General features: G+C 34.9%; 1 annotated feature.

Annotated features, from left to right (window-relative positions):
- Nucleotides 16,664-17,208: an enhancer, noted in NCBI's record as "OCT4-NANOG hESC enhancer chr3:189166776-189167320 (GRCh37/hg19 assembly coordinates)". NCBI's record gives its function as "activates a minimal SCP1, AML or CMV promoter by ChIP-STARR-seq in naive H9 embryonic stem cells {active_cell/tissue: H9 hESC(naive)}" and the evidence as "EXISTENCE:reporter gene assay evidence [ECO:0000049][PMID:30033119]".

The raw sequence follows: 17,553 nt of genomic DNA on the forward strand, positions 1-17,553 counted from the left end.
CTACTACTGGCCTAAGCCTGAGCTGTTTAACTCAGTTAATAAAATATTGGGGAAAATAAATAAATAAATGTGCACACCACTGGGGAATGAAATAAGCTTCGTGCAACTTTGCAATTCTAACCCCACAGGAGAAGTGAGCCTGCTCACACATGAAGCACATTGCCACTACAACTAGCATCTGAGAAAACCATCATACACGCTCTGTAAAAAAGGAACCCATACGGAGTCTTCACCATCGAAAGCACTCAGAGCTAAATTAGGTTACAATAAACTGTAAGCATTAAAGTTACATCATCAGAGGGGTGGGGGAGGCATAAAATAAAAGTTGAATAAAAAAATAAATTCAAACATAATTAGAAGAAATAGTCTATGCAAATGAGAAGAAACCAGAAAAATTATTCCAGCAATATGAAAAGACAGGGTTATGTAATACCCCATAACATCCTACTAGCTCTCCATCAATGGATCCAAACCAAGACAAAATCTTTGAAATACCAGATAAATAATTCAAAACATTGATTATTAAATTACTCAAGAAGATACAAGAAAAAGGTGAAAACCAACATAAAGAAATTTACAAAAACAAGTGAGAATATGTATAAAATTTTTTCTAAAGAAATACCTGTTTTAAAGAAAAAAAAATCAGAATTCTGGAAATCAAAGTCACATTTAGGGAATTACAAAGTGAAGTGGAAAGTTCTAACAATGGACTAGGCCAAGTAGAAAAAAGAATTTCAGAGCTTGAAGACAAGCCTTTTGCATTAACTCAATCAGACAAAATTAAATAAAAAAGAATTTTTAAAAGAATCAACAAAGTCTCAAAGAAATATGAGATTTTGGAAAATGGCCAAACCTAGGAATCACTGGTATTCCTGAGGGAGAAGGAAAAGCAAAAAAATGCTTAGAAAACTTATTTGAGGGAATAATTGAGGAAAATTTTCTGGCCTTGCTAGAGATTTAGACATCCAAATACAAGAAGCTCAAATAACTCCTGGGAGATTCACTGAAAAAAAGGACATCACCAAGGCATATAGTCATCAGGCTATAAAGTCAATGTGAAGAAAAGAATTGTAAGAGCAGTGAGACGAAAGCCATCAGGTAACCTATACAGCAAAACCTATCAGACTTACAGCAGACTTCTCAGCAGAAGCCTTACAATCCAGTAGAGATTGGGGTCCTATCTTTAGCTGCCTTAAACAGCACAACTGTCAGCCAAGAATTTTGTATCTAGCAAGACTAAGTTTTATAAATGAAGGAGAAATAAAATTTTGTTTTCAGTCAATCAAATGTTGAGGGAGGTTGTCACTACCAAACCAGTCCTAAAAATGTGCTAAAAGAAGTTCTAAATCTTGAAACAAAAGGTTGACATGTACCAGAATAGAATCTCTTGAAAGCATAAAATTCACAGGACCTATAAAAAATAACAAAATGGAGAAAACAAAGTAACTAAGTAACAATCAACACAGTCACTGGAACAGTACCTCATGTCTCAATATTAATGCTGAATATAAATGGTCTAAATGCTCCACTTAAAACATACAGATTTTCAAATGAATTAAGAAATCACAAACAAAATATCTGCTCTCTTCAAGAGACTCACATGAAACGTAAAGATAAAACACTCAAGGTAAAGTGATGGAAAAAGAATTTCCACACAAATGAAAGCCAAAATCCTGCAGGAGTATTTACAATTATATCAAATAAAACAGACTTTAAAGCAACAACAATAAAAAAGACAAAGGCCATTATATGATAATAAAAAGATGAATCCAATAAGTAGATATAACAATCCTAAATATATATGCACCTAAATCTGGAGCTCCTGGACTCATGAAACAATTACAAATAGACCTAAGAAGAGAGATAGCAACACAATAATAGTGGGAGAATTCAGCCTTCCACTGACAGCACTAGAGATATCATTGAAACAGAAAGTCAAGAAGGAAACACTGCACTTAAACTGCACTCTAGAACAAATGGAACTAACAGATATTTATAGAGCATTCTACTCAAGAACTGCAGAATATGCATTCTTCTCATCAGTACATGAAATATAATTAAAGATAGACCATATGACAGGCCACAAAACAAGTCTCAATACTTTCAAAAAACTGCAATTATATCAAATATCTTCTCAGAACACAGCAGAATAAAATGAGAACTCAATTCCAAAAGGGAACCTCAAAACTATACGAATACATGGAAATTAAACATTCTGCTCCTGAATGATTTTTGGGTAAACAATAAAATCAAGATAGAAATTTAAAAATTCTTTGAAATGAATGATAACAGTGACAAAAGTTATAAAAACCTCTGGGATACAGCAAAAGCAGTTCTAAGACAAAAGTTTATAATAGTAAGTACCTACATCAAAAGTCTGAAAGATCACAAATAGACCACTTAACATCACACATCAAGGAACTAGAAAAACAAGAACACAACACACCCAAAGCTAGCAGAAGAAAAGAAATAACAAAGGTCAGAGTAGAATTTAATGAAATTGGAACAAAAAATACAAAAGATCAATGAAATAAAAAGTTGGTTCTTTGAAAAGATAAACAAAATCAATAGATCATTAGCTAGATTAACCAAGAAAATAAAAGATTTAAATAAGCTCAATTAGAAATGAAAATGGAGATGTTACAACTGATGCCACAGATATACCAAAGATTATTTGAGACTACCATGAACACCTCTACACACAAACAAGAACACTTAGATCAAATTGATAAATTCCTGGAAACGTACAACTCTCCTAGCTTTAATCAGGAAGAAATAGAAATCAATAACAAGCAGTAAGATTGAATCAGTAATAAAAAATTTACCAACAACAAAGAAGCCCAGGGTTAGATAGATTCACAGCTGAATTCTACCTGATAAGAATTGGTAAGACAATGATAGTCCACTAAAACTATTCCAAAAGAATAAGAAAGAGGGAATCCTCCCTAACTCATTCTATGAAGCCAGTATCACCCAGATACCAAAGACAAGAAAGGACATAACAAAGAAAATGGTAGACCAATATCCCTGATGAAAATAGATGCAAAATGCCTCAACAAAATACTTGTAAATGGAATCCAATAGCACATCAAAAAGATAACTCAACATAATAAAATGGATTTCATCCCAGTAACGGAGGAATGGTTTAACATATGCAAGTCAGTAAATGTGGCTGCAGAATTAAAAACAAAAAACTATATGATCATCTCAATAGACACAGAAAAAGCATTTGGTAAATCCAGCATCCCTTTATGATAAAAACCTCAACAACCTAGGCATAGAAGGAACATACCTCAAAATGATAAAACCCATATATGAAAAACCCACAGCCTATACTGTGAATGGGGAAAAGTTGAAAGTATTATTCCTACAAACTGAAAAAAGACAAGGACATACACTTTTACCACTTCCATTTAACATAGTACTGGAAGTTATAGCTACAGCAATCAGGTAAGAGAAAGAAATAAAGGTCATCCAAATTCGAAAAGAGGAAGTATAACTATCTCTGTTTGCCAATGATATGATTTGATACCTAGCAAACTCTAAAGAGGCTTCCAAAAGACTCCTAGATTTGGTAAATGAATTCCATAAAGTATCAGATTACAAAATCAGTGCACACAAATCAGTAGCACTGCTGTATACCAACAACCAAGCTGAGAATCAAATCAAGAACTCAATCTCTTTTACAATAGCTGCAAAAGAAATAAAATTCCTAGGAATATACTTAACGAAGGAAGTAAAAGATCTTTCTACAAGAACTACAAAACACTGCTGACGAAAATCATAGATGACACAATTGGAAATACATCCCATTCTCATGGATTGGAATAATCAATATTGTGAAAATTACTATATTGCCCAAAGCAATCTACAGATTCAGTGCAATTCCTATCAAAATGCCAACATCATTTTTCAAAAAATTAGAAAATAACAATCCTAAAATTCATATGGAACCAAAAATGAATCTGATTAGCCAAACCAATCCTACACAAAAAGAGCAAATCTGGAGGCATCACATTACCCAACTTCAAATTATACTATAAGCCTACAATAACAAAAACAGCATGGTACTTGTATAAAAGTAGACACATAGACCAATGGAATAGACTACAGAACCCAAAAATAAAGCCAAATACTTACAACCAGTTGATTTTTGACAAAGTATACAAAAACTTAAATTGGGAAAAAGACACCCTATTCAATAAATGGTGCTGGGAAAATTGGATAGCCACATGTAGAAGAGTGAAACTGGATCCTTTTCTCTCACAATACACAAAAATCAACTCAAGATGAATTAAAGACTTAAATCTGAGACCTGGAACCATAACAATTCTCAGAAAAAACTTAGGAAAAACTCTTCTGGACATTGGTCTAGAAAAAGAAATTGTAACTAAGACCTCAAAAGCAAATGCAACAAAACAAAAAATAATTAAACTAAATTAAAGTAAAAAGCTAATTAAACTAAAAAAGCTTCTGCAGAGGAAAATAAATAATCATCAGAAGAAATTGACAACTCACAAAGTGGGAGAAAATATTTGCAAACTATACATCCAACAAAGAATTAACATCCAGAATCTACAAGGAACTCAAACAAATCAGTAAGAAAAAAATCAAATAATCTAATAAAAAGTGGGCAAGATACACAAATACACATTTCTCAAAAGAAGATACACAGATGGCCAACAAGTATATGAAAAAATTGCTCCCCATTACTTGTCATCAGAAAACTGCAAATTAAAACCACAATGAGATCTACCTTACCCCAGGTATAATGACCATTATTAAAAAGTCTGAGAAACAATAGATGTTGGCATGGATGTGGTGAAAAGGGAATGCTTATACACTGCTGATGAGAATGCAAAGTAGTGTAACCTCTGTGGAAAACTGTATGGAGAATTTCTCAAATAACTAAAAGTAGGTCTACCATTCAATCCAGCAATGCCATTACCGGGTATCTACCCAAGGAAAAAGAAGTCATTATATCAAAAAGACACCTGTACACATATGTTTATCACAGCAAAATTCATAGTTCTAAAGATATGGATCCAAGCTAAGTTCCATGAATAGATGAGTGGATAAAGAATGAAATAATATCCTTTGCAGGCACTTGGATAGAACTGGAGGTCATCATTCTAAGTGAAGTAACTCAGGAATGAAAAACTATACTGCATGTTCTCACTTATAAGTGGGAGCTAAGTTATGGGTACACAAAGGCATACAGAGTGGTATAATGGACATTGGAGACTCAGAAAGGTGGAGAGTGAGAGTGGATGAAGGGTAAAAATCCTATATATTAGATACGATGTATACTACTCTGATGATGGGTGCACTAAAATTTCAGACTTCATCACTGTGTAATTCATCTATGTAACCCAGAACCACTTGTAACCCAAAAAGCTATTGAAATTTTTAAAAAATAAATTTAAAAAACACAAAATACTTTGTACTGTATTTTTTAATTTGTTATCTCTCTCAATCACTCAGTAACTGTAAACTCTGAGAGATGATATCTTCTTTGTTTACATTTCTCTCATAAAGCACCTTGTCTCACTATAAATAGGATCTTTAGACATACAGAAGACTAACATTGCAGAGACGAAGCACAAATTCTCCAAGTCCTCCATCACTGGCAATGATGGTGAAGACACTCTTACATGCTGCAGTTCCTAAACTCTGTGTGTGTGTGTGTGTGTGTGTGTGTGTGTGTGTGTGTGTAATCCTCATGCCATGGTCTGTGGCAAATGGTTTGTCTGCTTTGTTAGAGCCCAGGAAAGAGAAAGATTGTGAGATCAAGACAAGGAAGTCTGGGGCAAAGCTTGTGGAAGGGCATAAGGGAACAAGTAAGAAGTGTAAACATCTTTGTATTACATGTTATGCTTACCAGAGAGCACCTACCAGAGCAGCAGAGTCAGTAAACAACGAAGTGGATCAAATCACCTGGCTGGTTGGTGTCAGCCAGCATCTTTTGCTGACCCTTCTCAGTGCTGTCTAGTGTCACAATGGGTTTATGGGAGGGAAAAAGCTGTGGATGTATGCTTAGAGGGAATGAATGGACCAAAGAGCCTGGGCTCTCACCTACCAAGACTGATCTAACTGCTACAACTGTCTAATGCCAACACTGTCTAATCTCCCTCCAGAAAAGGAGACCAAAGCTGAACCCCAAATATAACTTCATGCCTCAAGTAGACTAAGTCATCACTTGGTAATTTGAAACCAAGTCATCACTTGTTGGAAATTAATTCTATTGTACCCTTCCTATCTTGGAAAAGGCAGAAATTCTTATAGACTGGAAGTGGCACATATTCCAGGCACATGCTTTTCTTTCCTGCCTGTAGAAACCTTGCCAACATTGCTAACCGAGGGCACATCAGTATGCTTGGCCAAGAATCCATCTTTGACAAATGAGGTGTAGTAATAAGCATCTGACCAGTGGTCTTATGACACTACATGACCCAAACACTTCTGGCAGATGGAGTAATAGAATGTTGGGGGTTTTTTTGTTTTGTTTTCTTTTTCTTTCTTTTTTTTTTTTTTTTTTGATACGGAGTCCCTCTCTGTCACCCAAGCTGGAGTACAGTGGCATGATCTCTCAGCTCACTGCAACTTCCACCTCCTGGGTTCAAGCAATTCTTCTGCCTCAACTTCCCGAGTAGCTGGGATTACAAGCACACACCACCATGCCTGGCTAATTTTTTTGTATTTTTAGTGGAGACGGGGTTTCACCATGTTTGCCAGGCTGGTCTTGAAATCCTAAACCTCAGGTGATTTGCCTGCTTCGGCTTCCCAAAGTACTGGGATTACAGGCACGAGCCACCGTGCCCACCCAGAATAGTGTTTTGAAGGCACAGTTGATGTACCAACTTATTGATGATACCCTGTGAGGTTGGGATGGCATCCTGAAGGAAGTGGTGTACAACTAATTGAATGACCATTACATGGTATCATCCCCAGTAGGTAGAATACCTGCGGGCTCCATGTATGAGTGAGGCTTTAGCACAACTGCTTTTCATTTTCAGCTTGCATCCACACATGGAGCCAGCATATCCATTAACTAAGCTCAGGCTTTTCCCTTGTTTATTAGATGATGACAAGAGGATCCTGTACAACCAGTGAGTAGATACCCATGAATTTTGGGTCTGTTGGTGCAGCATTGGTGGATGACATGAGCTTCTGAGCTGTCTGCTTGTGCAGCTTACTTGTGTTTGTTGTTCCTACTTGTGTCTAATCATAGGTGTAAAATCTCGTTGTTACAATGAATTGCTATTGAATCTACCTGTCCATGTGGTTTGATCAGTCTGATGAAACCTAGCTCGCATGGTCGCATGATATCCTATGATTAGTCATTCCATCTTTACCAGGGACCAGAAGCATTATAAAAGCAAGATCTGGAGAAAGTGAAGTATCACAAAGTAAAAAAAAAAAAAAAAATTACAAATCACTAAAACAAAAACATATAAGCCAAGAGTGCAGCAAATGAATGTTTTAAGGTTCTGTATTGTCCAGGAAGAGTAAAGGCATTACTAATTAGGTGTATACTTTGATATGTCGATCATGTAAATTTTAACACCCACTAAATAAAAAAGGGAATGATGCATTACTTCCAAGAGAATAAATAGCAAAAGATAATAACATAAAAACTATTCCAAAAGAAATTTAAAAAGGAGAAAGTACACACAACAATAGGACAAAGAGAAAGGATAAAAGAAGAGATTAAAATGAACTAGTAAAAACATTAAAATGTAAATGGATTAAATTATCCAAGTAAAAACAAATTTGGCATAGTAAATTAGAAAAAGATCTAATTAGTACTATTTAAAGAGTGTGTATATATATATATGTACACACACACACATATGTACTATTAAAAGAGTACATATATACATTAGTACTATTTAAAGAGTATAGATATACACATATATATTTATACTCTTTAAATAGTGCTAATTAATATATATAAATAGTACTAATATATACATATATTCTTTAAATAGTGCTAATTACTATATATGTATATATATTGTATATATATACTATATATAGTATACTATAGTATATATAGTATATACTATATATAGTATATATAGTATATACTATATATAGTATATACTATATATAGTATATAGTATATACTATATATAGTATGTATATACTATAGTATAGTATAGTATATACTATATATAGTATATACTATAGTATAGTATAGTATAGTATATATAGTATACTACACTATAGTATATATAGTATATCTAGTATATATATATGATATATATATACTATATGTGAGATATATATACTATATATGAGATATATATATACTATATATATCAGAAATATACAAATATACAAAAAAAATACAAAAAGGTTGAAACTAAAAGAATGGAAAAAGACATACAGTGATAATACCATCCAAAAGACCATGATATTAATATCAGACAAAGTCTAAGGAAAAAATATTACTAGAGCAAAAGAAAATCATTTAGGATGATAAAAGTTTAAATTTATCAGGAAGTCATAATTCTTATTTATATGCAGCTAATGACATAGCTTTAAAATATGTAAAGCAAAAACTCAACAAGAGTCTAAGGGAAATTTTAAAATCTCACGAGCAAAGTCGGAATTTTGAACATATTTTTTGAGTAACTGGCAGATCAAGCAGACCACAAATCAGTAAGTATAGAACATATTTAAGCAACATTATTACAAATTAGACCTTAAAAATATACAGAACATAGCATCCTGTAACTACATAACACATTCTTTTTGCATACATCTAAATATAGCTGTTATAAAAGTTGACCTTAATTTGGGTACCAAGTTGAAACAATTGTTCAAGGATAAAACATATAGGGCATGTTATCTAAATACAATATAATTAAGCTGGAAATATATACCATAAGATTTTTCTTTATCATATTCATGTTTGAAAGTAAATATCTCTTCTTGGAAAGAAAAAATATTTTTATGTAACCGAAGGAAGAAATTAAATGGAAACTAGAAATATTTTGAACTAAGAAAATGAAAATAAAATAATGCATATCAAAACTTGTTGGATGCAGCTAAAGAAACTTTTGAGTCAAAATATATACATTAGAAATATTTATTAAAAAATACTGAAAATTAATTAACTTTTGTATGTAATTAAGGTAATGATTTCTAATTAATATACTAGATAATATCCAAAGGCTAAGTGACTTAATACAATAAATTTTTACTTATTTGACAGTGCAGTGTGAATATTCTTGATTACGTGTCAATGTATGTGGCATTCAGGTTTCTAGACACCTTTTATTTTACAGCTTGCCCTTCTGTGGGTTTTAAGAGTTTTCTCTACCTAACAAATAGAAAGTGGGAAGAATTGAAGGTCCCCTTGTCATTATTTGATAGGTAAGACTTGGAAGTTGCATGCTACAATTCTTCCCATATTTTATTGACAAGTACTGAGTCACATGTCCACATGTAATTACAAAAAAGAAGCTTGGGGATGGCAGTCTAACATGTGGCCAGGAGAATTCTGCCTCTCACAACTCCCATTCAACATTGTGTTGGGACCTAGTATAATGACCTAAAAAACCAACCTAATAAAAATCAATTGCAAAGCTTTATTTACTAGAAACAAGCAATCAGGCATTAAATATGACATTTATAATATTATAAGATAATATGATGTACCTAGTAATAAAGCTAGCAAAAGACGTGCAAGACTGCTATGGAAAAAACTCTAAAACTTTTTGAATGACACAAAGAAAAATCTCAACAAATGAAAAAAATACACCATACCCTTGGATTAGAAGATGTAATTTTATTATGTAAATTGACCTCAAGTTTTAATGGTGTACAAACATAATCATGTTTGTGTCTGTATGAACTGAAAAGTAGTTTCTGAAATTTATACAGAAGTGAAATGAATACAAATACCTAAGACACTCAAAGAAAAAAGAAAAAAGTGGAACAACTTGTATCAGATATTAAGATTCATAATAAAGTCACAGTAATTAACACTGTATTATATTAATGCTTAATTAGACAAATGACCAATGGAATTGACATTTTAAAAAGTTCCCGGCTGGGCACCGTGGCTCACGCCTATAATCCCAGCACTTTGGGAGGCCATCGGGGGCGGATCACCTGAGGTCGGGACTTCGAGACCAGCCTGACCAACATGCAGAAACCCCGTCTCTACTAAAAATACAAAATCAGCCGGGCGTGGTGGCACATGCCTGTAATCCCAGCTACACAAAGGTGAGCCAAGATTCCAGCCTGGGCAACAAGAGTGAAACTCCATTTCAAAAAAAAAAAAGTTTCCACAAATTTAGGAAAAGATAGATTTTTGTTTGGTTATGATAACAAGTAGTCATCTGAACAAATTTTAAAGCTGTTCAAATAATCAACAACTTGCCTTACAGAACACACTTTTCTTTTTCTTTTCTTTCTTTTTTTTTTTTTTTTTTTAATGTTTCTTTCCTCCTTAATGGAATTCAGGTAACATGTTTGGCCCATTTTTCCATTGGATCGATCCTTCCTTCCTTCCTTCCTTCCTTCCTTCCTTTGTTCCTTCCTTCCTTTCTTTCTTAACTTTATTTACTCTAAAAGGAAAAACAGGATACATGTGCAGAACGTGCAGGTTAGTTACATAGGTATACGTTAGCCATGGTGGTTTGCTGAAACTATTGACCTGTCCTGTAAGTTCCCTCCCCTCACCCACCACCCCCAACAGGCTATGGTGTGTGTTGTTCCCCTCTCTGTGTCCATGAGGAAACACGCTTTTCTAAGCCAAGCAATCGGTGTCTTCCATTTCTTCTGAAAATAAGCCAATCAGGAATGAACTCACTCCAGTAAACCCACCTGTGACTGCCAACCTATCAGTACTAGTAGTATTTGAATCAAATGGATCTCCAAGTTACCTGAATTCATTTACATCTCTGAAAGTACATCATCAATCCCCTAAACTCCATGCTTCCTAAAGACCCTAAATAAGATCAGCTATCTGTTCTCAGAAATTTCTCTATAAGCAGACTTCTCCCTTACTCTAGTAAACAATAAGTACAGCCGTTTATTTTTATTTTATATCGAGTGGTGACCTCATTATCCATTTGAATGAACAGCATGAGGAATTTAGAAACACGTTCAGCCAGGTGCACACCCAGCTCCTAGGGAGGTTGAGGCAGAAGGCAGGGACATGGCTTGAGAGTTCATGGTTGTAGTGTGCTATGATCACACCTGTGACTAGCCAATGCATCCCAGCCTGGGCAACATAGGGAGATCCCGATTTAAAAAAAAAAAAAAAAAAAAGGACTTCTATTTGAATTATAACAAAGGAGGCACTGCTGATCAGTGAGGAATCAATGGGGATAAGACAATTAGCTGACCTTTATTGCATAATGTGTACACAATGAATTCCATGTGGATTGAAATTTTTGACATAAAAGTAAAAGCTTTAAAACTTTTCTAAGATAATATTCTAAAGATAGATAATGTTATATCATGACCTCATTTTAAGAAAAGATTTCTTAAACCGATCGCAAAACATTTTTACTGTAAAGAGAAAATTGATGATTGGACTGCATTAAAATTTTGAACTTACATCCTATAAATCACCACAAAGAAAAGAAAGCCACAGATGATGGAAGAAGATATTTGCATCACGGTGTCTGTAACCAATACCCAGAACAAATAAGGAACTTCTAAAAATAAACTTTAAAGTCTCCCATTATTATTGTATGGGAGTCTAAGTCTCTTTCTAGGTTTCTAAGGACTTGCTTTATGAATCTGGGTGCTCCTGTATTGGGTGCATATATATTTAGGATAGATTGCTCTTCTTGTTGAATTGATCCCTTTACTATTATGTAATGGCCTTCTTTGTCTCTTTTGATCTTTGTTGGTTTAAAGTCTGTTTTATCAGAGACTAGGATTGCAACCCCTGCTTTTTTTTGTTTTCCATTTGCTTGGTAGATATTCCTCCATCCCTTTATTTTGAGTCTATGTGTGTCTCTGCACATGAGATGGGTTTCCTGAATACAGCACACTGATGGGTCTTGACTCTTTATCCAATTTGCCAGTCTGTGTCTTTTAATTGGAGCGTTTAGCCCATTTACATTTAAGGTTAATATTGTTATGTGTGAATTTGGTCCTGTCATTATGATGTTAGCTGGTTATTTTGCTCGTTAGTTGATGCAGTTTCTTCCTAGCCTCAATGGTCTTTACAATTTGGCATGTTTTTGCAGTGGCTGGTACCAGTTGTTCCTTTCCAAGTTTAGTGCTTCCTTCATATGGAACCAAAAAAGAGCCCGCATTGCCAAGTCAATCGTAAGCCAAAAGAACAAAGCTGGAGGCATCATGCTACCTGACTTCAAACTATACTACAAGGCTACAGTAACCAAAACAGCATGGTACTGGTACCAAAACAGATATATAGACCAATGGAACAGAACAGAGCCCTCAGAAATAATGCCGCATATCTACAATCATCTGACCTTTGACAAACCTGACAAAAACAAGATATGGGGAAATGATTCCCTATTTAATAAATGGTGCTGGGAAAACTGGCTAGCCATATGTAGAAAGCTGAAACTGGATCCCTTCCTTACACCTTAGACAAAAATTAATTCAAGATGGATTAAAGACTTACATGTTAGACCTAAAACCATAAAAACCCTAGAAGAAAACCTAGGCAATACCATTCAGGACATAGGCATGGGCAAGGACTTCATGTCTAAAACACCAAAAGCAATGGCAACAAAAGCCAAAATAGACAAATGGGATCTAATTAAACTAAAGAGCTTCTGCATAGCAAAAGAAACTACCATCAGAGTGAACAGACAACCTACAGAATGGGAGAAAATTTTTGCAATCTACTCATCTGACAAAGGGCTAATATCCAGAATCTACAAAGAACTCAAACAAATTTACAAGAAAAAAAACAAACAACCCCATTAAAAAGTGGGAGAAGGATATGAACAGACACTTCTCAAAAGAAGACATTTATGCAGCCAGAAGACACATGAAAAAATGCTTTTCATCACTGGCCATCAGAGAAATGCAAATCAAAACCACAATGAGATACCATCTCACACCAGTTAGAATGGTGATCATTAAAAAGTCAGGAAACAACAGGTGCTGGAGAGGATGTGGAGAAATAGGAACACTTTTACACTGTTGGTGGAACTGTAAACTAGTTCAACCATTGTGGAAGTCAGTGTGGCGATTCCTCAGGGATCTAGAACTAGAAATACCATTTGACCCAGCCATCCCATTACTGGGTATATACCCAAAGGATTATAAATCATGCTGCTATAAAGACACATGCACACGTATGTTTATTGCAGCACTATTCACAATAGCAAAGACTTGGAACCAACCCAAATGTCCAACAATGATAGACTGGATTAAGAAAATGTGGCACATATACACCATGGAATACTATGCAGCCATAAAAAAGGATGAGTTCATGTCCTTTGTAGGGACATGGATGAAACTGGAAACCATCATTCTCACAAACTATCGCAAGGACAAAAAAACCAAACACTGCATGTTCTCACTCATAGGTGGGAATTGAACAATGAGAACACATGGACACAGGAAGGGGAACATCACACACTGGGGCCTGTTGTGGGGTGGGAGGAGGAGGGAAGGATGGCATTAGGAGATATACCTAATGTTAAATGACGAGTTAATGGGTGCAACACACCAGCATGGCACATGTATACATATGTAACTAACCTGCACATTGTGCACATGTACCCTAAAACTTAAAGTATAATTAAAAAAATAAAAATAAACTTTAAAAGGACAATACAAATAAATGGGTAAAATACTTGTACATGCAAGTCAGAATAGAACATAACGTAATGGCCTGTAAACATACAAAATGATGCTCAACTTCTTTATAACAGAGTTATATTAGTAATCAGAAAAATGCAAGCTTAAAATACAATGAGACTATCTTTTAATTGTTTAGCTAAAATTTAAAAATCTGACAATACTAAGTGTTGCAGAGAATGTGGTAAATGGATAATCTCATGTATTTTTAGTGGGAGTATAAACTGATATGGCAGTTTGCAAAAATATTTGATATTATCTAGCAAAATTGAAAGTATGCATATCATAGGAAACAGGAATTTCACTTCTAGGTATATAACCTAGAAAATATTGTGGAGATAGGTAGCAAGGTATCTTTACAAAAATGTGAATGTCAGGATTTTTATTATTTGTCCCAAATAAGAAAAAATCCAAATTTCTACCAAATATACCATGTATAAATAAATGGTGCCATAGTCATACAATGGAATATTATGCAACAATGTAACTGAAAAATATGGAAGGTTTGCACAGCAACATGGATGAATGTCACATAGAAATTGACAAAGAAGCTAGACAAAAAATAATACATAGAGTATTACTCCATTTATATAAAGTTGAAAAGCAGGGAAAGCTAAACTATATTGATGAGGGAAAGCATGGTTGCGGATGAAGCTATAAAGGAAAGCATGGCAACGTTAATGACAAAATTCTGAACAGTGGTTATATCTAGGGGGATAGGGAGAAACTGGGTCCATGATGGGCACACAGGGGGCCTTCAATGATGCTGCCAAAATTTCATTACATAAAATGGTTAGTGATTTGGGTCTTGCTTTATTGTTAAATTTTAAATTGTACTTATAAGTTTTATGCTTTTTCCCATTTGTACATGAAAACAAAAATTAAAATTAAATAAGTAATTGTTAATCTAGTGTAGTGATGGGAGGAGAAGTCTCATTGTAGTGAGTCAAAGAGGGAATGTATGGTGAGTCAGTAGAGTCATTGCTTATAGGCAACTATATCAGCGTGCATAAGGATAAAAACAAACAAACAAACAGAAAAGCCCAAAGCGTAAATAAGGAAATACATTCTCCAACATAGTAGCAGTTAAGTGGCTGAAAGTTCTTAAGTCAGGGCTGTTCTCTGAAGTTCTCTTGTTTCTCTAGATGTAATTTTTGTCATCCCAGGGTTGTAGCAAGAATGCTGAAATGTTTCCAAGTATCACACTGAGATATCATGACAGCACTCAACCAAGAAGAAAAGCAGCCTTTATCTTTGATTTATAAAACTCTAGAATGGACTTCTCCCACACTTTCTCTCACATTGCTTTGGCCAGTTTAGCATAACACGCATATTTGTAAGCCAATCTTTATCAAACAGGAATGGGAATGGGATTATATTAATTTTCTGTAATGGAAGGGATGTTAGTGAACAAGACACATAACTACTTTCAAGGACTGGCTTCTGAGGTTTTACTTGTAAGCTAACAATTTAAATGGCCACAGTTTTATGCATGCTGGTAGAAGACACAGATTATTGGGTCAGAGATGAAGAATAGCTTCTTAAATCCAGAGAAGCATCCAGGGGATCAGCATTTTCATAATATTCTCCTGAGGCCCAATTCTGATGGGGCAGCAAAAATAGGGCCAAGTAACAAACATCTGCACACACAGTGGATTCATTACAGGAGAGGAATCCTGGGCTTAGTGAATCTTAATATTTTATAATAGCTTGTAAGCTTTCCCTCCAATTGCTGAAAGAGAGACACTATCATTATCTACCAAAGCTGTTAACCACATAAACTTTTTTGAAAGTATATTCTGGATCAGATGGTAGTGCCTTTGCTCAGAGGAAGTTCAGATATGTGGGAGAAACCCATGGATAATTGTCTCCCAACAATTACTGCTACTCTTCTATCTTGAAATTGTCTATAAATGAATAGAGTGAATGAGGCAAGTTGGAAATTGCCAATTTGTTTAGAGGCAAGTTTAGAGGCAATCTCTTGCTACTGGAATTCAGAAGCCTGGGTATTTTTCAAACATAGATTTATGAACTTACAGTTGTTAATTTTCTTCAACATTATGTCTCATGTGTTGAGAGATGGTTTGTCCTGAGACAATATTTTTTTAGAGCAGAAAACTAAACCTGGAAAGAAATTGTCCAGTGAATTCGTAAAATATGTAAGTATTCAATATCAAAATATCAAAACACAAAACAAAACAAAAATCATTAGTCACTGTCTTAAATATGCCTGAATTTATAAAATGTCTTTATGACTAATTTTTATTTTCATTGCTTAGTATGTGACTGGAATATGTGCATATGTAATATAGCATAAGACTTAGTATTTTTTCTAGTGAACCTTGGTTTCTTCATCTGTAAAGTGAGAAGATGGGGCCAGGTTTTTTCCAATGCCCCTGTGCTCTGAGCTGATATGACTATGTTATATATTGAAATTTCCCATTCCCAACATTGACTACTCTTTCTCATTTTACTCCCCAAAATATACACCTCCATCAAATATGTGTGTAGTGTTTTTTTTTTTTTAAAGATGGAGTCTCACTCTGTCACCAAGGCTGGAGTGCAGTGGCACGATCTCGGCTCACTGCAACCTCCGCCTCCTGGGTTCAAACTGCAAACTCTGTCTCCTGGATTCAAGCAATTCTCTGTCTCAGCCTCCCGACTAACTGGGATTACAGGCGCCCACAACCACGCCTGGCTAATTTTTGTATTTTTAGTAGAGACGGGTTTTCACCATCTTGGCCAGGCCGGTCTTGGACTCCTGACCTCGTGATCCACCCGCCTTGGCCTCCCAAAGTGCTGGGATTACAGGCGTGAACCACTGCACCTGGTCCCTGTGTAGTTCTTTAAAGACAAGAAGAACTTTAAGTTTTCCCACCTTCCCGTGAGGTAGACAAAAGTCATTATATTTTAACGGAAAAAAAAAAAACTTGCACAGGAAGATGAAGTGAATTGCCTAGGGACATTTTTTTAGATCAGAAATATATTGAATAGGTAATTAGTAGAGGCAGAACTTGACTTAGAGCTTTTGAGTCTGAATCCCTGGACTTGGTATTCTCCTATGCTATTGTTCTCTAATTCCCTTCCTATACACCATTAAAACAATCATCCAGGGCAGTCATCCCTGGTTACCATGACAATCAGAGACGTTAAAGAGCAGAGCTCTACATGAGAAGCCAATTGGCTTCAGAAATGGCCCAGTAATTATGAAACTAAGTGGAAACAGTTTTTGCATGACCATTTACTCAATATTAGCTTTTATAAACCTCTCCCAGTTAGCTTCTCTCCATATGGACAAAGTAACTGTGAATAAAATCCAATGAGAAAATATCATCATTCTTCTTGTGAAAAAAATCACTTCTTTAATTGACAATTATCCTTTTGGCATCTGTCTCTGCTTGTACTTCTCTGCAATCAATTGGCTCATGTATGAAAGGGTGTGTGTGTGTGTGTGTGTGTGTGTGCTACACATGTATTAATAAGGAAAAAGAAAAAATTCATTTTGATTCATAACTGGAAAGTCATTAGAGATCATCACATTGAATTACTGTTGTTGGTTTATGTCTGTCTCCCCCACCAGATGTTGCAATACTTGAAGTAGGGATCATAGTCTCTTCTATCTCTATAATATCTACTCTCAAAATATGAAGGCATATGGTAGGTTCTAAATAATGGTTGCTAAATAACAAAACACATCAATTATCTAGTCCAACCTTCTCATTTCATACATGAGAAAAA

The sequence above is a fragment of the Homo sapiens genome, chromosome 3 (assembly GCF_000001405.40).
Source record: "Homo sapiens chromosome 3, GRCh38.p14 Primary Assembly".
NCBI lineage: Eukaryota > Metazoa > Chordata > Mammalia > Primates > Hominidae > Homo > Homo sapiens.